Source organism: Homo sapiens, chromosome 22 (genome assembly GCF_000001405.40).
Source record: "Homo sapiens chromosome 22, GRCh38.p14 Primary Assembly".
Taxonomy (NCBI): Eukaryota; Metazoa; Chordata; class Mammalia; order Primates; family Hominidae; genus Homo; species Homo sapiens.
The window spans coordinates 42,144,699-42,167,998 of NC_000022.11; the positions used below are offsets into that span (position 1 = coordinate 42,144,699).

At 51.7% G+C, this 23,300-nt stretch overlaps 1 protein-coding gene, 1 long non-coding RNA gene and 1 pseudogene across 11 annotated transcripts in view; all 3 read right to left on the reverse strand.

The window, feature by feature from the left end:
• Nucleotides 1–753: 753 nt before the first annotated feature.
• LOC105377203 (uncharacterized) lies at nt 754–4,802 on the reverse strand. Its single transcript, XR_938280.2, has 3 exons — nt 4,581–4,802; nt 3,274–3,655; nt 754–840 (listed from the first exon to the last, which is right to left on the reverse strand). It is a non-coding gene; the product is annotated as an uncharacterized LOC105377203 (long non-coding RNA).
• Nucleotides 5,185–10,318, reverse strand: CYP2D8P (ccytochrome P450 family 2 subfamily D member 8, pseudogene; annotated as a pseudogene).
• Nucleotides 15,315–23,300, reverse strand: part of TCF20 (transcription factor 20) — a 183,525-nt gene continuing 175,539 nt past the window's right edge. For all 10 annotated transcript variants that reach the window (XM_047441476.1, XM_047441474.1, NM_005650.4 and 7 more), the window contains one exon: nt 15,315–16,660. In XM_047441476.1, coding sequence (XP_047297432.1) covers nt 16,643–16,660 — 18 coding nt within the window. In that variant the 3' untranslated portion in view covers nt 15,315–16,642. The remainder of the gene's footprint in view (nt 16,661–23,300) is intronic.

A 23,300-nucleotide genomic window follows, 5' to 3' on the forward strand; every position in this document is an offset into this window, starting at 1 on the left:
GCTTCCTGCTCCAGGCCCTTACCCAGGGTAGGGTGGTAGAAAGGCCTGGTCGGAGAAGTCACCCCCTCTCCCCACTCCAAGCTCCCCAAGCCCACACAGGCTTCTGGGATAACCAGGGTCTCAGTGGACCCGGCCATCCACCTCCCAGCTAGGCTCATACACCCTAATGTAGTCACAACCCCTCCTCCAGAACATGACCTTGCCCTTTCCCTACCCCCACCTGCCCACTCCAGAGTGACCTTCAGCACCCTTATCTGTCACTGGCACTTACCTGGGGCCTTAGAGCTCCTGATGATGAGTGGCATCATGGGCCTGGTCCCTTCACTTCACCTTGCACTCTTGACATGCACAGACGCTATGCACACACCTGATGGTGCACAGATCTCTTGTCCACTCCCAGACACTTGTCCACTTGTTCACACTTGCAGGGACACGATTACACATGCAGAAAATCACCCACACAAAGACAATATTCACACATACACAGACTCACACTGACACTCAGGGCACACATTCTCTCTCACACACACCAGTCACACACACATACAGACCCGGCACCAAGTACCCCACTTCCCAGCCATGCCCGAGGTTTCCTGGATGGGACCTCTCCTGTCCAGAGGCTGCTCCCGGTGAGCCTCAAAGCTGTCACATGGATCCCAGCTCAGCCCACATTCTGGGCTCTGGCCGGGCCATGACTTCCTGTTTGCAACAGGGCTGTTCCCAGAGCTCCCAGTTGGTAGCCTGAAGGCCGTTGCCCCAGCCTGTGACAGCATCCTCCAGGGCTGCCTGAGGGTCGTCATTCTCCACTGCTTCCTGGCCTCCATGTTTCTGATTAGAAATCTGGTGGAAACATTATGGAGGATCCTTTATTTAGGATATGTTGCTTTTTTATTTTTATTTTTTCTTTAGACAGGGTCTCACTCTGTTGCCCGGGCCGGAGTGCAGTGGCAGGATCATGGCTCACTGCAATCTCAACATCAAGTGGACCTCCTGCCTCCCAAGTAGCTGGGACTACAGGCACCACCGAGCCCAAATAATTTTTTTTTTGAGACGGAGTTTTGCTCTGTCGCCCAGGTGGGAGTGCAATGATGCGATCTCGGCTCACTGCAACCTCCACCTCCAGGGTTCAAGCGATTCTCCTGCCTCAGCCTCCCAAGTAGCTGGGATTACAGGTGCCCACCACCATGCCTGGCTGATTTTTTGTACAAGAAGTTTATAGAACACCAAGCAGATTTAACCCAAAGAAGACGACCTCAAGGCATCTGATAATTAAACTCCGAAAGGTCAAGGATAAAGAAAGGATCCTAAAAGCAGCAAGAGAAAAGAAACAAATAACATGCAGTAGAGCTCCAATACATGACATGGGGCAGCCACCTTTCCAGTGGAAACCTTACAGGCCAGGGGGGAGTGGCATGACATATTTAAAGTGCTGAAGGAAAAAAAACTTTTAGCCTAGAATAACGTATCTGGCAAAAATATCCTTCCAACAGGAAGGAGAAATAAAGACCTTCCCAGACAAACAAAAGCTGCGAGATTTCATCAACACCAGACCTATATCCCACAAGAAATGCTAAAGGGAGTTTTTCAATCTGAAAAAAAAAAGGATATTAATGAGCAAGAAGAAATCATCTAAAGGTACAAAACTCACTGGTAATAGTAAGCACACAGAAAAACAGAGTATTATAATACTGTAATTGTGGTGTGTAAACTACTCTTATTTTAATTAGACTAAATGATGAACCAATCAAAAATAATAAGTACTTTTCAAGACAGACAGTACAGTAAGACATAAAGAGGCCGGACCCGGTGGCTCACGCAGGTAATCCCAGCACTTTGTAAGGCTGAGGTGGGTGGATCACCTGAGGGCAGGAGTTCGAGACAAGCCTGGCCAACATGGTGAAACCCCATCTCTACTAAAAATACAAAAAATTTAGCTGGGCATGGTGGTGGGCGCCTGCTACCCAGGAGGCTGAGGCAGGAGAATCGGTTGAACCTGGGAAGTGGAGGTTACAGTGAGCTGAGATCGTGCCACTGCACTCTAGCCTGGGCAACAGAGCAAGACTTTATCTCAAAAACAAAAAAAGAGAAACAACAAAAAGTTAAAAAGCACTAAGATGAACTTAAAGTGTAGAGTTTTTATTAGTCTTCCTTTTGCTTTATGTTTGTTTACACAATCAGTGTTGTCATCCGTTTAAAATAATGAGTTATAAGATAATATTTGCAAGCCTCACGGCAACCTCAAATCAAAAAGCACACAATAAGTGAGACTGTGTCTCAAAAAGAAAAGAAGAAAAAACACACAATGGATACACACACACAAAAAAGCAAGAAATTAAATCATACCACCAGAGAAAATCACCTTCATTAAAAGGAAGACAAGGAAAAAAAAAAAAAAAAAAAAAAAAAAGAGAAGACCACAAAACAGTGAGAAAAGAAATAACAAAATAGCAGGAGTAAGTCCCTGCTTAGCAATAATAACATTGAATGTAAATGGACTAAACTCTCCAATACAAAGACACAGAGTGGCTGAATGGATGAAAAAGCAAAGCTCAATGCTCTTTTGTCTAGAAGAAACACACTTCACCTGTAAAGATACACATGGACTGAAAATAAAGGGATGGAAAAAGATACTCCATGCCAATGGAAAACAAAAAAGAGCAGGAGTAGCAATACTTAGACAGAACAGATTTTAAAACAAAAACTGTAAGAGGAGGCCGGGTGTGGTGGCTCACGCCTGTAATCCCAGCACTTTGGGAGGCCAAGACGGGCGGATCACGAGGTCAGGAGATTGAGACTATCCTGGCTAACATGGTGAAACCCCGTCTCTACTAAAAATACAAAAAATTAGCCAGGCGTGGTGGCGGGCGCCTGTAGTCCCAGCTACTCAGGAGGCTGAGGCAGGAGAATGGCGTCAACCTGGGAGGCGAAGCTTGCAGTGAGCCAAGATCGCGCCACTGCACTCCAGCCTGGGTGACAGAGCGAGACTCCGTCTCCAAAACAAAACAAACAAACAACAACAACCAAAAAAACTGTAAGAGGAGACAAAGAAGGTCATCCAGCAACAGAATATAACAATTGTAAATACATATGCACACAACACTGGAGCACGTAAAGCAAATGTTATTGGAGCCCAAGAGAGACGTTAACGCAATAACAGCTAAAGACGTCAACACCCCACATTCAGCATTGGACGGGTGTCCCAGATGGAAACCCAATAAGAAAACATTAGACTTAATCTGCACTACAAAAGAAATGGACCTACTAGATACTTACAGAACACTTCGTCTAAAGTCTGCAGAATACACATTCTTCTCCTCAGCACATGGATCATTCTCAAGGATACACCATATGTTAGGTCACAAAGCAAGTCTTAAAACATTACAAATGTTAAAATAATATCAAGCATCTTCTCTGACCACAACAGAATAAAAGTGGAAATCAACAACAAGAGGAATTCTGGAAACTATACATACACGTGAAAATTAAACAATATGGTCCGGAATGGCCAGTGGTTCAATGAAGAAATTAGGAAGGAAATTTGGCTGGGCACAGTAGCTTACACCTGTAATCCCAGCACTCTGGGGGGCTGAGGCAGTCAGATGACCTGAGATAGGGAGTTCGAAAGCAGCCTGGCCAACATGGTGAAACTCCGTCTCTACAAAAAATACAAAAATTAGCAAAGCATGGTGGCATGTGCCTGCAGTCCCAGCTACTAGGGAGGCTGAGATGGGAGGATTGCTTGAACCCAGGAAGTCAAGGCTGCAGTGAGCCCTGATGGCATCACTGCACTCCAGCCTCGGTGACAGAGCAAGACCCTGTCTCAAGAAAACACACACACACACACACACACACACACACACACAGATGCTCAAACTAATATCATTTTGCTGTTAGAGCCAAGAGGGGTGGCCTGTGTAGTAAAAAGTGGGGAAGTCATTCCTTGCACAATGCAAGCCACTGGACCAAGAGTCCAAACTGACTCTTGACAGGAGGCTGGGAGATATCTGCTAAGGCCTTGGAATGTCCTGCCTGAAATAGTGTCTTTGTACATAGCTAGGGCCTTGGACCGTACAACACAGTTTATGCCAACAATGTGATCGAGGGTGGGGCCGTCAGGCCTGTATCCATCTGACTTCAGGAGGGGCTGGAGACTGAGTAACTGAGGTCAGCCATGCTGCGGGGGCTCAAGCCTAGGATGACCAACTCCCAACAAAAACCATGGACACCAAGGCCCAGGTGAGCTTCCGTGGCTGGCAGGGCTCTCTGCTGCCTCACTTACTGTTGGGGGAGAATTAAGCACTGCCTGTAGGAGTCCACCAGAAAAGAGAGCTGCAGCCTTGGCCTGGTCATTCTGGACTCTGGTCCCTGTGCCTTTCATCTTTGCTGACTTTAATCTGTACCCTTCTCTGTAATAAACTGTTAACAGGGAGAATAACAGCTTTTCTAGGGCTGTGAGACCTTCTAGAAATCACTGAACCTGAGGGTGGTCTGGGGGAGCACAACACAGTCTCCCACCCTAGCCAGGGAATGGGTTGATTCTTGGCATATGCCTATTCATATCCACCCCAGCCAAGACTTACGCATGGACTTTGTCACCAAGCCAGGCAGCCAGTGATGGGTCTCTGGGCGTGACGTGGGGGCAGGCTGTTTCCTGCTGAGAATCACTATGCCTGTATCTCAAGTAAAGTCAGGCGTCCAGGTAAGAGTGAATGAGGTGAGGCTGGTCTCGGTGGCTCACGCCTGTAATCCCAGCACTTTGGGAGGCTGAGGCTGGTGGTCACGTGAAGTCAGGAGTTTGAAACCAGACTGGCCAACATGGCGAAACCCATCACTACTAAAAAGACAAAAATGAGCCGGGGGTGGTACCCGGTGCCTGTAATCCCAGCTACTCAGGAAGCTGAGGCACGAGAATCGCTTGAACTCTGGAGGCGGAGGTTGCAGTGAGCTGAGATTGCACCACTGCACTCCAGCCTGGGTGACAGAGTAGGCTCCATCTCAAAAAAAAAAAAAAAAAAATGAATGAATGAGGTGAGGGGTGAGGGGTGAGGGGTGAGCACTGACATCAGGCAGGTGACTGACGACCCAACACAACCAGGACCTTGGCAGGGGCCCAGACTGGATACAGAAACCAAGTGGGAGCCACTAGACTAATTTATTGTACAACAGGGTCCCAGCTGAGGAGCAACTCTAGCGGGGCACAGCACAAAGCTCATAGGGGGATGGCGTCACCAGAAAGCCGACGACACGAGAGTGGCTGGGCCGGGGCTGTCCGGTGGGCACCGAGAAGCTGAAGTGCTGCAGCAGGGAGGTGAAGAAGAGGAAGAGCTCTATGCGGGCCAGGGGCTCCCCGAGGCATGCACGGCGGCCTGTGGGGAGGGGAGGGGCGTCAGTGAGCCTGGCTCCCGGGTGATACCCCTGCAAGACTCCACGGAAGGGGACAGGGAGCCGGGCTCCCCACAGGCACCTGCTGAGAAAGGCAGGAAGGCCTCCAGCTTCACAAAGTGGCCCTGGGCATCCAGGAAGTGTTCGGGGTGGAAGCGGAAGGGCTTCTCCCAGACGGCCTCATCCTTCAGCACCGATGACAGGTTGGTGAAGAGCATCATCCCCTGGGCAGGAGATGCAGGGTGAGAGTGGGGACTGGACTCTAGGATGCTGGGACCCCCAAGCACACAGGGGACACACACTGCCTGGCACACAGCTGGACTCTGTCAACTAGTCCTGTGCCCGAGAAGCTCCAGAGCACCCTCTCCGACCCCATGGCAGGGCGCAGTCACACCTCCTGGGAGCGCCCACGCTACCCCCTCTCCCTACAGGTATTGGGGTCCTCCAACATTCTGGCAGGTCCTGGTCTGCCTTCCCCACTAGACTGGGGCTCTGGATGGACAGGCCAGCCCTGCCTATACTCTGCACCCCACACCCAGGCTGGGACAGTCGATGTGGTGGCATTGAGGACTGGGTGGCCAGGGTTCCTAGACTGGGCCCACCTGGCAGTGGCCATGCTGGGGCTATCACCAGGGGCTGGTGCTGAGCTGGGGTGAGGAGGGTGCCAGGCCTACCTTAGGGATGCGGAAGCCCTGTACTTCGATGTCACGGGATGTCATATGGGTCACACCCAGGGGGACGATGTCCCCAAAGCGCTGCACCTCGTGAATCACGGCAGTGGTGCAGGGCATGCGAGCCTGGTCACCCATCTCTGGTCACCACACCTGCCCTATCACGTTGTCGATCTGTTGGACACGGCCTGGACAGACACGCGTCCCCACAATGGGTCAGCACCCAGGGGACCAGCCCTGACACTCTCCTGCCTCCTGTGTTGGAGGAGGTTAGGCTTACAGGAACCTGGCCAAGCCTGTGCTTGGAGTCCCGGGTGTCCCAGCTAAGCTCAGGGGCCCCCACCTGTACCCTTCCTCCCTTGCCCCCTGCACTGGGCCCCAGCTGGGCTCACGCTGCACATCCGGGCGTAGGATCATGAGCAGGAGGCCCCAGGCCAGCGTGATCGAGGTGGTCACCATCCCGGCAAAGAACAGGTCAGCCACCACCATGCGCAGGTTCTCATCATTGAAGCTGCTCTCAGGGTTCCCCTTGGCCTGAGCAGGGCTGAGAGGGTACTCAGGGGACAGAACGGGAAAGCCCCCAAATGACCTCCACATTCTGCACCTGTCAGCCCAGGTGCCACTTGCCAAGTGATCCAATGGACCCACCTTTTGCCTGCCTCATTCCTCCCGGACGCTCAACCCACCACCCCTGGTCCCTACCGTGTCAGCCACTCTCACCTTCTCCTTCTCTGCCAGGAAGGCCTCAGTCAGGTCTCGGGGTGGCTAGGCTGGGTCCCAGATCATTCTGTGCTCGGTCAGCAGCTCATCCAGCTGGGTCAGGAAAGCCTTTTGGGAGCGTAGGACCTTGCCAGCCAGCCCTGGGATGCGCAGGAGGAGGGGGACAACATTCAGCATCTACAGCTGACACAGAACGGGGTCTCAATCCCTCCTGTGCTCTGCGTTCACCTGGACCAGTCTCAGGCCCCAGCTGCCTCCAGGGAAGACCCAGGGCCTACCTGTCCCCACCACTCACCTCCCCAAGTCCCTCCCCAAGTGCCAGCCTCCACCCTCTCTCCTTGCCCTGGGCTGCCAGAGGAGAAACCTAAAAATCAAAATCTCCAATGTGGACAGGAGGCACAGGGTCCTTGGCCTTTCTTGGTGCCCCCTGACCCGGGCACACCTCTCCCACGACCGTATCTGAGATGTCTCCTCCTCCTCAAGGCCCTTCCTCTAGCAGTGAGCTCTTCTGGAATGTCCTTTCCCAAACCACTCTATGCAAACCCTGCTCCTTGGAGGTCCGGCTGCAGTCCCGGCACCTCTCAGGAGCTCGCCCTGCAGAGACCCTGCGGTCCCTCGCTCCACATCTCTCACAGAAAGCCCAGCTCCTCCTTCAATCCCTTCTGAGCTAGGTCCAGTAGCCTGAGGAAGCGAGGGTCGTCGTACTCGAAGCGGCACCCGCAGGTGAGGGAGGCGATCACGTTGCTCGCCGCTTTGTTCAGGAGGCCGTTGGGGTGAAAGGGGCGTCCTGGGGGCGGGAGATGCGGGTCAGGGGTCGCCTTCCCAGTCCTCCACCTTCCCAGTTCCCGCTTTGTGCCCCTCTGCCCATCACCCACTGGCTTGGTCGGCGAAGGCGGCACAGAGGCAGGCGGCCTCCTCGGTCACCCACCGCTCCAGGGACTTCTTGCCCAGGCCCAAGTTGCGCAAGGTGGACACGGAGAAGCGCCTCTGCTCGCGCCACGCGTGTCCGTAGTGTGCCAGAAACACCCCTGGGGGCGGGACGGACACATGGGCGTGGTCATGGAGGCCTTGGCCCCGCCCTCCGCCGCCCACTCCAACCCTGTGCTTTTCCTGGTCTCCCGCAGTCCCTGGCCCTGTCCAGCTGGGCACAGGGCCTGCTCTTTGCTCACTCACCTTGCTTGGGTCTTGGCCCCACCTTGGCTCTTCCGACCCTGACTGCCTTTCCACTCAGGGAAGATCCCGCCCGTCCCGCCCCGCCCATACTGAGCCCACAGCAGAGTCCATCCCGGCTTCTAGACACCCGCTTCCAGCTGGGAAAGGCGCCAGCTCCGCCCACCCGGTTCCTGGTGGGTCTCGGCAGTTGCCCCGCCCACTCACAAGCCCCTCTTCCTCCCGCCCACAGACTCGCACCTCCCCAATGGAAGTGGTTTCCTGGCTCGCTGTCCCCAACCCACTCACTGGCCCACAACCCCGCGCCCTCTCAGCCCAGCTTGGGCTACGGTCACCGCCCACCCAGGACCCACGGAAACGCAGTCTCTGTCCCCCACCGCCGCTTGCCTTGGGAGCGCGGCCCGATGCCCAGGACCTGGTAGATGGGCGCAGGCGGGCGGTCGGCGGTGTCCTCGCCGCAGGTCACCAGAGCCTCACGCACGGCCGCCAGCCCATTGAGCACGACCACCGGCATCCAGGCCAGCTGCAGGCTGAACACGTCCCCAAAGCGGTGCCGCAGCTGTAGAGGGAGGGTCAGGGCCTCCGTTGGGTCAGGGCCTCCATCAGGCCAGGGTCCCCCCAGACTGCAGGTCCTAGTCCTATTTGAACCTTAGACGACCCTCGGGGCTACCAGGAGTGAGCAGGTGGAAGGAGGAGACCCAGCCTCCCGATCCTGGGGCGGGGATGGGGTCACACCTTCTGTGATGGAGGAACTCAGTTTGGATGCGTCACCCAGGTATGACCTTGCAAGAGTCACCAAAATTGCCGAGAGGCCCCAGTTAGCATCCCATTCCCAGATGATGGTCCATGCCGGTGAGCAGTGAGGCCCGAGGACCCACAGTGCAAAAGGTTTGAACCGGGTCCACTATATCCCTTCATCCTTGATTTCTAACTTACTCATTTATTTAGACCATGTCTGGCTCTGTCACCCAGGCTGGAGCGCAATGGCGCGATCTTGGCTCACTGCAACCTCCACCTCCCGGGTTCAAGCAATTCACCTGCCTCAGCCTCCCATGTAGCTGGGATTACAGGTGCCCACCACCGTGCCCCGCTAATTTTTGTATTTTTAGTAGAGGCAGGGTTTCACCATGTTGGCCAGGCTGGTCTCGAACTCCTGACCTTGTGATCCCCCCACCTTGGTCTCCCAAGATGCTGGGATTACAGGTGTGAGCCACCGCGCCCAGCCGTTGATTTTTTTTTTTTTTTTTTTTTTTTTTTTTTTTGAGACAGAGTCTCGCTCTGTCGCCCAGACTGGAGTGTAATGGTGTGTTCTCAGCTCACTTCAAGCTCTGCCTCATGGGTTCATGCCATTCTCCTGCCTCAGCCTCCCAAGTAGCTGGGACTACAGGTGCCCACCACCTCGCCTGGCTAATTGGTTTGTATCTTTAGTAGAGACGGGTTTCATTGTGTTAGCCAGGATGGTCTCGATCTCCTAACCTCATGATCCGCCCGCCTTAGCCTCCCAAAGGGCCGGGATTACAGGCGTGAGCCACCGCGCCCGGCCTGATTTCTTATTCGTTTATTTAGACATTGTCTGGCTGTGTCACCGAGGTTGCAAGGCAATGGCACAATCTCCACTCACTACAACCTCTGCCTCCTAAGTTCAAGCAATTCTCCTGCCTCAGCCTCCCAAGTAGCTGGGATTGCAGGCGTGCACCACTGTGCCCAGCTCATTTTTTGTATGTTTAGTAGAGACCGGTTTTTGCCATGTTGGCCAGACTCATCTGGAACCCCTGACCTCAGGTGATCCGCCCACCTTGGCTTCCTTAAGTGCTGGGATTATAGGCGTGAGCCACCACGCACAGCCTGATTTCCTGATTTAAACGGCACACAGGACCCTGACTCGTCTTCCATTCCCAAGGCCTTTCCTTCTGGTGTCAGCAGAGGGGACTTTGTGCTCCTAACATATGCTGCCCAATGGGCTTGCACGCCCACTGCCAAGTCCAGCTCCACCTCCAGGCCCTTGCCCTACTCTTCCTTGGCCTTTGGAAAATCCCATCTTTCATGCCATGCATAAATGCCCTCCCCCAGGAAGTCCCTCAAATCTGCTTCCCCTTCTCAGCCTGGCTTCTTGTCCAGACTGTGGCTCCACCCACCACCCATGTTTGCTGGTGGTGGGGGATCCTCAGGACCTCCTCCCTCACCTGGTTGAAGGTGTATATGTTCTGGAAGTCCACATGCAGCAAGTTGCCCAGCCCGGGCAGTGGCAGGGGGCCTGGCGGGTAGCGTGCAGTCCAGCGTTGGTGCTGCTGCATCAGGTCCACCAGGAGCAGGAAGATGGCCACTGTCACTGCCAGGGGCACCAGTGCATCCAGCCCCATGGCTGCCTCACTGCCCATTGGGCTCCTCTGGACACACCTGGCACCTCCACCCCACCAGGCACAGAGGACCAGGCAGGACACTCTCAGCACACCCAGTGCATGACCGTTCCCTTATAAAGGGAGCTGATGATGGCCTTTGCCTTCTGCTGTGAGCCAACCTGCTGTGTTGACTGTGCTGCCAGTGGGTGCAGGGTCAGGCCAGGGCGGGTATGGGCTGCTGCAGAGGTCCTTGCCCCTGCTCGCTCTAGTTGCCTACCCAGATTAGGGTGGTGGGCGAGAGGTGGCCTGGCATGGGAGCTCCACCCAAGTTGGAGGTATGGATTGTACTGGGTGCTGGGCTGTGTACTGGGAGCATGGTGGTAAGGCTGTGAGTCAATGCCCCAACGTAATGATGACCACGGGGAGTAGGAAGGTAACATAGCTGACATGACAAGCCAGCAGTGCCATGAGGGTCCATGGGGACGTTGTCCCAGGCTGGAACAGGACTTTCTGGGAAGGATTCATGGAGAACTTTGTCTAGCTGACTGAGGGGCTGCCTAGCACTGTAGGCCACGGCACTGGCAGTGGGACCAACCCACCCCTGGAATTTCCTGTGCAGGTGGCCTGAGGGGCAGCAGGAGGCCAGCAGCTGGAGCCTGGGTCTTTTCAGGTCTGGATGAAGACTGGATCTGGGGAACAAAAGGCAGGGAGAACAGTTTATTTAAAATTTAAAAATATATATATATTTTTTAGAGACAAGATCTTGCTCTGTTGCCCAGGCTGGAGTGCAGAGCTGTGATCATAGCTCACTCAAACTCCTGTGCTCAATCAAGAGATCCTATTTTAGCGTCCTGAGTAGCTGGAACTACAGGTGCACATCATTACGCTCGGCTAATTTTTTTGTTGAGATGGGTCCTCACTATGTTGCCCACGCTGGTCTGGAACTCCTGGCTTCAAGTGATCCTCCTGCCTTGGCCTCCCAAAGTGTTGGAAATAGAGGCATGAGCCACCTGGCCCAACAGAAGTTTTGAAGCTACTCAACTGACAGAGAGAGCAAGACCCATGCCTATCTGGGGACTTCTCAGATCTGGCTTGTGGTCTCCCAAACTGGCCTCAGCTGAATGAATGTTCCTGTCCTACATGGCAGCACTGTTCTATTTGGGACTGTGAGAGAATCAAGGTGCAGGGACAGCAGGATGGTCTGGGTGCTTGTTACATGGTGGCCCTTTATACATTACCTGTATGCACTCTTGGCCTTTTGAGGTGTCAGGCCCTCCCCAAGCAGTCATCATGAATCATGATGGGGGTGTGAAGGGCAGGGACAGGCATGCCTGCAATGTGGGCAGTGTCCTCCCGAGTGCCCTCCTTACCAGCCAGAGGCCTGTAATTCAAGATATGGCAGCATGAGGAAAACATTTAATAACAATGCCTGTGGCCTTTTCCAATCATTGTGCACCTGTGGCTTCCATTGATCGGGCACTTATGTGCCAGAAACTGCTGGTCAGACTGTGTGCTCTAGCTCATTAATCCTCCCACAGCCCCCTAAGGAGGTGGTTTTATGGTCCCCAAGGCACAGAGACTGAGGCTCAGAGATCACATAACAAGGTTCAAGTCACACAGCGGTGTTAGGAGTCCACATCCAATGTGTATGCTGAGCTACTATTCTATACTGTTTGGACATTACATTCTATTAATGGTCAGTATAGATGTTTCTGGGATTTATTATTTTTAGGAAACAGATCCAACCTGCCTTCCCTGAACAGTGGTACTGCTGTGTCATGGTAAAAAGTGCACTGTGCCCTGGCAGGCCCTATGGACGTTGCCAAGTGAGATGGTGTGAAAATATGTCAGCAAGTGGTAGACTAGGAAACTGCGGGCTCTCGTTCTCCTAGAGAGCTCAATGTTAAAGCTATAGGAGACCAAAACATCGTGAGAATTCTAGAAACTAGTTAGGATGCTGCAATGCCAGCTAGTGCAGAGCCAGGGAGGGACTGCACTGGGAAGGGTAGTCAAGTTGGAGCATTTTGCTTGTTCTTGCCCTTCCCCCTGCCAGGCATAGCAATGCTACTGGGAGAGACCCTCCAATTCCCAGCTCCTCCCATGGGATGGGTTTCTGCTGGGTCCGACTCAAGAGTGCTGAGTGGTGGGGTCTGTCTGCCCTCAGAGCAGCACCTCTGCGTTTCCACAGCTGCAAGGGGACGGGGTTATGGGCAGTGGAATAGTTGTGTCTGGGTATCCTGGAGGGGATTGGTGCCAGGACCCCCGGTAAATACCAAAACCCAAGGATGCTCAGGTTCCTTATGTAAAATGGCATAGTATACCTATGCAAATGCTCCTGTATACTTTAAATCATCTCTAGATTATTTGTAATGCCTAATACAGTGTAAATGCTACATAAATAGTTGCTATACTGTACTGCTCTTATTTGTATTTTTAGTTGTTATACTTTCTCAAGTTATCTTTGATGTGTGGTTGAATTTGTGGATGCGGAGCCTGTGGGTATCGAGGGCTGCTTGTACCCTAGAAACAGAAATGGAAAGCTCCAGGGGCAGGGCCAGCCTGCAGGGGGGCAGTTTAATGGGTAAAGCTTCCGTTGTATAAAATGAAAAATTCTGGAGATTGGTTGCACAACAATCTGAACACATTTCCCACTAAACTGTACTGTGACTGTTATGATGGTACATTTTTTTAACCACAATTTAAAAACTTTATGAGTATTAAAAAAATAAATGGCTATATACACACCTATTAGAATGGCTTAAATCCAGAACACTGACAACACCAAATGCTGGCAAGGATGTGGAGCATCAGGAACTCATTCATTGCTGGTGGGAGTACAAAATGGTACAGACACTTTGGAAGAAAGTTTGGCAATTTCTTTTCCTTTTCTCAGTTTTTTTTTTTTTTTTTTTTTTTTTGAGACAGAGTCTCACTCACTCTGTCACCCAGGCTAGGAGTGCAGTGGCACGATGATCTCAGCTCACTGGAACCTTTGCCTCCTGCGTTCAAGCAATCCTCCCACCTCAGCCTCCCGTTTAGCTGGGACTGCAGGCGTGAGCCACCATGCCTGGCTGATTTTTGTATTTTTAGTAGAGACAGGGTTTCACCATGTTGGCCAGGCTGGTCTCAAACTCCTGACCTCAGGTGATCCAGACAGTTTGGCAATTTCTTACAAAACTAGACATACTCTTACCATACAATCCACCAATCGTGCTTCCTGTACTTACCCAAAGGAGTTGAGGCCTTATGTCCACACAAAAACCTGCAAAGGGATGTTTACAGCAGCTTCATTTGTAATTGTCAAAACTTGAAAGCAACCAAGATGTTCTTCAGCAGTTGAATGGATAAACTGTGGTACAGCCAGACAATGGAATTATTTATCACTAAAAAGAAACAAGCTATCAAGTCATGAAAAGACACGGGTGAACCTTAAATGCACATTACTAAGTGAATGAAGCCAATCTAAAAAAGGCTACCTACTATCTAATCTCAACTATATGATACTTTGGAAAAGGCAAAACTTTGCAGACAGTAAAAGGCTCAGCGGTGAGGGACTGGGGCTAAGGAGGAATGAACAGTGGGACACGGAGGATCCCTGGAGCAGTGAAACTACTCTGGATCATGGTGCGTCCTCGTCTTTTTGAGACAGGATTTTGCTGTCACCCAGGCTGAAGTGTGGTGGCGCGATCACGACTCACTGTAGCCTCGACCTCCTGGGCTCAAGTGATCCTCCCATCTCAGCCTCCCAAGTAGCTGAGACTACAGGCATGCACCATCATGCCTGGCTAATTTTTGTATTTTTATGTAGAGATGGGGTTTCGCCATGTTGCCCAGGCTGTTCTCGAACTCAAGCGATACACCCACCTGAGCCTCCCAAAATGCTGGGATTATAGGCGAGAGCCACCACGCCCTGCCAGATCCAGGTCTTTATACATTTGTCAAAGGCCATAAAATGTACACCACCGGGAGTGGCCCCTAGTATAAACTATGGACTTTGGGTGAAAACAGTATGCCAACTCTGGTTGGGATGTTGATAGAGGGAAAGGTATGCATACGGGGGGAAGGGGTTATATGGGAACTGTCTGTACCGTCAGCTTAATCCTTCTGTGAACATAAAACTACTTTAAAAAAATCAATTAAGACAAACACTAAAGGAACTAAAAGGCACTTGAGCAGTTGAGGAGAACTGCAGAAGCCAGAAACTGGAGTCAGGAGGCATGCGTGTATCACTGCCACTCCCCAGTGAAGGTCATTACTGAAGCCAATTTAAGGAAAGACCTAGAACAATCACAAGTGCTCCACTCAGGCAAATCAAAAGGGGACAAAAGAATAAAAGACAAAATGACAAACATTTGCTGTCAGGAAAATATTTTCCTCAAGATACATATTTTTCAAGTTTTGTGGTTTAGCCCTTGACACCTGAAGTCTATCCATTTCATTTTAACTGTATTAATGCCAAGTCAAGACCAGAATGAGACAACAACTAGCTCAAAAAAGCCATCATTTCTGTGCAGGTCCTGTTCAGTTGCCTAAGCTTGGTCCTACGGCCGGCACGGCGCACCCACCCACACCTCCATCCTGGCGGAGTGAAATGAGAAATGGACTGCTTGATGTAGCCATTAAAATACAATTAATCTGCCATTTCTGCTGCCCCAAATTGATGAACACAGAACTCATTTATAATTGCTTATTTCTGCTTCACAATATTCCTTCCAGTATTTCCATTCTCTAAAAAAGTCCATTAACATTCCATTATTTTTTTATAACCCTTAATGTTGATTGGAAATATGTCTTCATATCAACTTGAGTAAATCTGACTGTCCCCATACACTGGCCACACTCCACCTGCCCAGAGGAGTGGCAGAAGAACCCTATATTTTGTTTGCTTCCCGGCTGCGTGGCCATCGAGAGGCCAGGAATGGGACAGACAGGTTCTGATCATGGCCTCCTCTGGAGAACCAGAGCTACCCTTTGGGGGTTAGAATGGGAGAAGGAAGAGACGCATTCACTTTAAAGTAAACAGAAGAGGAAACAAGGTTAAAATGAAGTTTATTATTTTTTTGATTTTTTGATTTTTTTTGTTTTTTGTTTTTTTAAATAAAACTGTTTGTGAAACAGCTATTTTATCCCCATGGCAGAGTGACCCCTGAAAGATGCACTAACCCCTTCTTAAGGCCATAACAAGATTTTTTTGTACTTTTTTCTTTTTTTAAAACTCAGATATTTAAAAATTATACAATTTACAAAACAAAACAACACAACATAAAGAATCACGTAGCATGGGGCTGCCTATCTGACAGGTCCTCTTTTCCTTTATAAAAATGAAAGCAAAAAGAAAAAGGGGTTAAATGGGTGTTCCTGGTCAGCTTAACCCACTCTGATCACAGCGACAGTCCCTCCCCGTCCCTGCCTACAGCTCACACTGCCAGCTCTGGCAACACAGGCCTGGACCTCCTCCCATCCCCACGGGTCCCTGTGGGTCAGGGCACAGCTGCCTGGAATGTGCTGAGGACAGGGGGCCCCAGAGGAGGGTCATCCCTTGATTTTGCTGCTGCTGTGTACACTTGATGGGGTCCTTGAGGTCCTCACCAGCCACAGTGACCCAGGACACAGCTATGACCTCAGGCATCTGCCAATTTCACCCCCAAAAAGAAAAAATTAAAAAAAAAAAACCATAAATAAATAGTGTTTCTGGAAATGAAAAAAAATTTATTTTTGTGTTTAAACATCATTCCCCTACTCTTGAAAACATGGACCATCCCTGTATTTCCCCCTCCCCCAAAACCTTCCCACTTTGAGACAAATTAATGACAAAAGGATGGTTCTGCTGTGGTTTGCTTTTTCAATCCTGGGTCTAGTGTTTTCTGAACTGGTGTGAGACAGGCTAAAGATCAACGCCACACACACACCCCGTCCTTCATGAGATGAGGGTTTGTTCAGTTCAATCTCACATTTAAATTTCACTTGTCATCGGAACAAATTTGGAGATCTTTAACGAGATAATTTTAAAACAGAATCAAAAGGGATAGCGCACCTTTCATTTAAACAAAGTCTTTCCAGACTAAAAATAGATTTATATATATATATTTATCCCTCCCTTTTAATTCCCCCCACCCTTTCCCCATCATCCCACCCCTCCCCCCTCCCCCCACATTGTCACTATGGAGATTGTGTCCATGGAAACAGCCATTCCAACGTCTTGGGTCTTTCTTTCCTGTGGTGTCACTGGTTTGAGTGTGATGTGAGAACTTAAGGAAGTGCTGGCATGGGCAGGCACGCGGGCGGGGCGGGGCGGGGCAGGGCAGGGTGTGGCTGCACGGTAGGACGATTTCCATTCCATCACGAGTGTCCACCACCTTCTCATCTCCACAGTCTCACCTGGAAGACAAGGGACACACAGTGAAGGCCAGGAGCCTCCACAGGGTCCACCACCAACAGCCGCTGTTCCGTGGTACCCCTGGGAGCTTTCAGCAGGGAGCCTGCACTCACGCCCCTCTGCAGATGTGCTGCTGATATGGGACACACCCGAGACCAATGCCAGGGCCACTGTGTGGCTCTGGATCTGGAATGTGATTAAAGGCAGCAATGACCTAGTGGGGGTGCTGGGGTTGGACTCTGAGGGCTCCTCAGGGCATGTCTGCCTTCCTAGTGCATAAAGGAACCAGTACAGCAGAGAACTCCCTGACCTCAGGGCAGGCCCCACTTGTGGGGCAGCTGGTGGGGTTTTGCCAGTGTCAGGACCCCAGTTGTGACTGAAACCTACAGTACCTGGTCAATCTGTGGAAGAAACTTCTCGAAGTCCAGCCTTTTAGGACAGTTTCACAGCTGCCTCTAGTCAACACAGCTAGTTGTTTGTTTTTGAGACAAGACATCGCTCTGTCGCCTTGGCTCCCTGCAGCCTTGACCTCCTGGGCTCAAGCAATCCTCCCACCTCAGCCTTCCAAGTAGCTGGGACTACAGGTACACGCCACCATGCTTGGCTAATGACAGTCTTTTTTTTTTTTTTTTTTTTTTTTTTTTGAGACAGTCTTGCTCTATTGCCCAGACTGGAGTGTAGTGGTGTGCTCTTGGCTCACTGCAGCCTCTGCCCCCTGGGTTCAAGTGATTCTTGTGCCTCAGCCTCCCAAATAGCTGGGATCACAGGTGCACGCCACCACACCCGGCTAATTTTTGTATTTTTAGGAGAGATGTGGTTTTGCCATGTTAGGCTGGTCTAGAACTCCTGGCCCCAGCTGATCTGCCCACCTCGGCCTCCCAAAGTGTTGGGATTACAGGCGTGAGCCACTACACCTGGCCCACAGTCAGTTCTTCATGCTTAAAAAGAACACTCTTCCCATGGCCTCTAACAGGGAGGGCAGGTTTTCTGAGGCTCAGACAGAGCTGGACTATGTTAATCCTTTCGACCTCTCAGGAACCTGAGACCCCTAGGTCTCCCATCCCCAGGCTGGAGGGCTTCTCTCCTCTTCCAGCCCATGTGCAGAAGGGGATTCTGATGGCCCACGTAGGACAGATGGATTGTACCAAAGGTCCCTGTGGAACGCTTCATGGGCCATCTGATGTGGAAAGGTCTCAAAGACAAACAGCAGTTTCCTAGGAATCAGTCCAGTAAAATTTCACCAGAAGCCAGAAGTGGTGGCAGCCTTGCCCCTCCTTCACTTGCTATCTGCCAATCACTGTGCTTAAGACTGTCACTGGGGCTCACCTAACTGCTTCCTCAAGACCAATTTGGTGCCCTCCCCTGACAAACCCCAAGAACCCAAGTGTCACCAGCCCTTTCTGCTTCCATAAAGTTCACACACGCAGAACTGCTAAGGCGGCTGGGGCCTGCGGGAGCTAAGATTGAGCTGTTCCCAAGCACGTACATGCACATGCTCTTGCCCAAGGAGGTTCCTGACTACTTGGCAGAAAACACCAATAAGCAGGAACACACACAGAGGCCATGGCACAACATCACCACAGACAAGTAAAAGCAAGCCCTGGGAATGCAGGCCAGCAGTTGAGCTAATGGGCACCTACCTCCAAGAACACAGAAGGGTGTCATCTTGTTGGGGCTGCAGGATGCCCGTGTGAATCAAGGCCAATGCCCACACGTACCCTGCCAGGCTCTGCTCAAGGAGGGGACAGGGCAGGGTTTGCCCTCTTTACCAATACACAGCAGTCTTGGGCCTGCACCCCAATCTTGCTCATTACTCAGAAGAACAGGACCCCACACCAGCTCCCCAGTGAAGAATGAAGCACATGTCAGCAGCCAGGGTCTGCCTGGCCAGTTGGCTCTGCGAGCTGCTACTTGTGGGCCCCTCCCTGGGGCGCGTGGTGGCCCAGGCAGCGGCAGTTCCTCAGCACCTGCAGCCTGGGGCTCTGCCCTCTATAGCCTTCGTGTTCCTCAGGTCTGATGACTAGACCAGCCCAAACACACGATATCCTGAATGTAATGGGACCCTAACTTTTCAAGAGTTACTTTAAAAAAGTTGTTCCTTCAGTAGGGAAATTAGGAAGGAAGGAAAATTCTCTAAGCACTATGTGCCAGGCCCTGGGCTAGAAGCTTTACAGATATTATATCACAGTAACGTGGATCTGCCTGACCCCCATCTTCAAGAGAGCTAAAGCTCAGGAAGGCGACACATGTAGCCCAAAGCGACGTGGCCAGAGGTGGGACTGGGGCTTTCCCAACTGGGCCCTAGGGGCTGCGTATGCTAGGGCATGGGGTGTGGCTGAGAGACGGCTGGGTCCCCGACAGTGAGCCTGGGAGCAGCCCTGGTGCCAGCCAGCCTGAGCAGCAGGAGCGACCTGCCGCCCCTGTGCTGAAGACTGTGAATTCTCTTTTAAAGAACATCACCTTGCTCCCCAGCTGCCAGCATCCAGGGTTTCGTCTTGGGCCAACACCTTCCCAGGCTCCCTCACTTGTTCCCTCCCTTCCCTTCTCGCTCACACTGTCCTTTCTGCTCCCCTTTGGCCTCATCCGTGGCCTGAACCCGGGACGCCATCCTCGCGTCCTTCCACATCAGACTCCAAGCCTGCCTTTCCCAACTGCAGCAAAAACTCATCATCTCAACACCACTCACCCTGGCCAGGATTCGCCCAGAGCCCATTTCCTCATTTCTAAAACAGACACTAATTCCGACTAGAGAGGGAGGATATGAAGGGAAACCTAATTCTGAATCTATACTGATTAAGGGCACCGATGGTCAGGGTCCAAGAGCCCTTTTTTCCCTGGGATGCACTCATTTCTTTCTTTTTTTTTTTTTTTTTTTTGAGATGGAGTCTCACTCTGTCGTCCAGGCTGGAGTGCAGTGGCACGATCTCAGCTCACTGCAAGCTCCACGTCCCGGGTTCATGCCATTCTCCTGCCTCAGTCTCCCGAGTAGCTGGGACTACAGGCGCCCACCACCACGCCCGGCTAATTTTTTGTATTTTTAGTATTTTAGTGTTTTAATTTTTTGTATTTTTGTATTGTTAGCCAGGATGGTCTCGATCTCCTGACCTCGTGATCTGCCCGCCTCCCAAAGTGCTGGGATTATAGGCGTTAGCCACTGTGCCCGGCCTGGGATGCACTCATTTCTTTAACACAGACTCACTTGGCACTAGCATAGTTACATGCCCCGCTCTGGGCTAGGCTTTGATGGTGCAAAGACAGACGTGGTCCCTGCCCTAATGGAGCTTACAGTCTAGTGGAGAGACAGGTAGTAAACAAGTAAATGATCTGAAATTGTGGTGATGCTAGGATGGCTGCAAGCGAGGAGGGGGGCAATGGAGACAAGGATTTAGAAAGGGAAAGGCTTCTCTGAGGAAGTAGGATTTAAGCTGAGACCCAGGAGATGGGAGCCTGTTTTCAACATGAAGATGGGGAGCCAAAGTGTTTCCAGCACAAGGAACTGTGTGTGCAGAAGCCCAGAGGAAGGAAGCCTGGTCCCTGAGGAGCTGGAGGCAGCCAGGGGCCTGGAGAGTCACCTGAGACTTCCATAGGGCTCTGGAAGGCAAGGTGAGATGTCTGGGCTTTGTGTGGAAGATGACAAGAATCTCTGACGTAGAGAAGGGACAGGACTGGAGGGAGGCCTAATGAAGATTGCACTTGGCTGCTGAGCAGTGGCAGGGAGGCGGGCACTATAGCAGCCACAATGCCTGGGCTGGGGCTGGTGGGGAAGGAAAGTGGACAGACTCAGGCTCTCCTCTGGAGGTGTAACCCTGGACTGCCTCTGGACCAGTTTGGGGAAAGGGGAACTCTAGAATGTGACATTCATGCATACACACAAATGGACTGTGTGATGTCCAGCTCCAGGGGCAGGGGGGCCACGCCCCGTTCCCTGCCTTGCTCAGCGTCCATCCATGGCTGTTCTGTGCAGGGTACATAGCATCCAGGATGCAGCATTAGCCCTGATCAAGGTTATGCTTCCCATGTGCTGGACCACAGGGCCTGTTAGGGCAAGCTGGGGCCTCCTTGTTTAATTCACGACAGGAGGAAGAGCTGGGTATAGGGACTCCACTGTCAAAAGCCCTGCCAACCAATGACACAAGCCAGCAAGGCAACCCCCTTGGCACAAAGAGACAGTGGGCAACCACGGGCCTGCAGAAGGACTTTTCCCCTCCGCACTCCTGGCGAGGGTCAGGTACCAGATACCTCACAGGCTGGGAGGCAGGGGCGGCATCTTTTAACCCCAAGCCTTGGGTATTTTTTGCTATAAGAGACAGCTGCAGGGTCCAATCTGCTGCCTTGACCCCTCCAACTCCCAAGAGAAACCCACAGCTAGGCATGGCAGATCAACGGGCTGAGAGCCAGTGTGCTGTGCTGGCACTTAGAGACATTTCCCAATGGAATCTCAAAAGGTTGGCACTGCTATTCCTGTTTTTACAGAAGAAACCGAAGTACAGAGACATGGAGTAGTCTGATCTTAGTCACACAGCACCTATCATATCACTCTGTCAGAACATGGCGCACTAGGAGGCAGACACACACGCACATTCGCTGTCTGTTCCCTGCCTTGTCAGGGCACCCAATAATGGTGGCTCTCTGTCCCCAGCATGGGGCCCAAGATGAGTCCTCCTTTAGTCAGAGGTGTGATTCTATCCCCAGTCACCAGGGCTTCTACCACAAATGAAGGACGGTGACCACCCTCAATGTCACTGCTGAACTGGGAAACCAGGAAAAGCTATATGCCTTGTGGGAACAGCACATAAAAAACATTTCAGATGGACAGGACTGGATGCAGTGAGTCCATCCTCTCCCTCCAAGAGCTGAATGGAATGGTTCAACCTCAATGGACCTGAGACGACTCTCTTCAATGGGTGAGGCCACTTCATCACTGTGCTTCAACCCAGAAGGATGAAGCTCATTGTTCTGTTCAAGAGTTGGCCGGGCGCCGTGGCTCACGCCTGTAATCCCGGCACTTTGAGAGGTCAAGGCGGGAAGATCACTTGATGTCAGGAGTTCAAGGCCAGCCTGGGCAACATGGTGAAACCCCATCTCTACAAAAAATACAAAAATTAGCTGGGCGTGGTGGTGCACACCTGTAGTCCCAGCTACTCGGGAGGGCTGAGGCGGGAGAATCGCCTGAACCCCAGAGATGGAGGTTGCAGTGAGCCGAGATCGTGCCCCTGTACTCCAGCCTGGGCGACAAAGTGAGAATCCGTCTCCAAAAAAAAAAAAAAAAAGAGTCAAGGGCCCTGACAGCTAGGAAGGAAGGCCCAAGAATGACTAGAGAGGAACAGATGAACAAAATCCCCAGGAGATTTGTCCACCAGGCCCAGGGCCTGAACTTTCTTTTTCTCAAACACAGATGCAATTCCAGGACAAAAACAAAAAACACTTAAGCTCTTTCCTTAACCAGGTCTTCTAGGACACATTCCAGGAATACGCATCGTGGTCCCCTACAGAACTTGACTCTAACCATCTTGGCCTGTGCTGGCACAGGGGTGACAATGGGAAGGCACAGTGACACCCTCAGGAGCGTAGGGACATGCAGGAGGGCCAACAGAAACAGTCCTTTCAAAACCACGCAATGCAATGGCTGCCTTGTCCTAAGGGCTAATCCCAGGAAAAGGAGCAGGCAGTGCTGCCCAGCAGGTTCTGGAAAACCAGCAGCCACTCGCTGATGGTGGCAATGTACTCCAAGTCCAAGAGGCTTCATTTGCTCATCTGGTTCCTCTGACCCAGGAACACATGGAATGGCTTCCACCCACCTCCCCACTTTGCTCTGATCCCTTCACTGCCAGCCCTACTCCCCGGAAGAGGAAAGAGAAAGGCACCACACTCAACGCTCTATCAAGAAGGCACTCAGCAGCCCCCACTTGACTTCTCAAATGGCGTGGCAGCCGAGGGGCCTTCTCCGGAAATTAGTAGTGGTAACAAGGAGGAGGGCACGTTCCAGAAGGTGGTCAGGCACATGGTGGTGCCGGAAGGGACACGTCTAGCGTAGCTGTGTGAGTCAAACTCCTGAGGTCGACACAGAAGTCCTCCCATTTGAGAGAAATGACCCCTCAATGAATATTTCTGAGACAACTAGTCCTCCTGCCCCATCCTGTAGCAGCAAGTGCCACAAGGTACATTTTGGTTTTTCTTTTCTTTACAACCTATTTCCCTTCATGCCTCAGTGACGCAGGGAGGGTGAAGGAGCAGCATGGAGCTCAGAGGCCTGCAGCTTCTAGAGACCCCAAGTCCTATCATCCTGTTTTCACAGATGCCTGCCAAGAGGGCCGTGACCACAATAATCCCACACAAACTCACAGCAAGCACAACTCAATCACAAGAATTTTTTTTCTTTTTTTGAGACAGGGTCTCACTGTGGCCCAGGCTGGAATGTAGCGGCACGATCATGGCTCACTGCAGCCTCAACCTCCAGGTTTGATCAAGTGATCCTCCCAGCTCAGCCTCCTGAGTAGATGGGACTAAAGGCATGTACCACCACGCACGGCTAATTTTTTTTTTTTTTTTTAATGTAGACACAGGGTCTCACTGTTGCCCAGGCTGGTCTTGAACTCCTGGGCTTAGGCGATCCTTCTGCCTCAGCCTCCCAAAGTGCTGGCA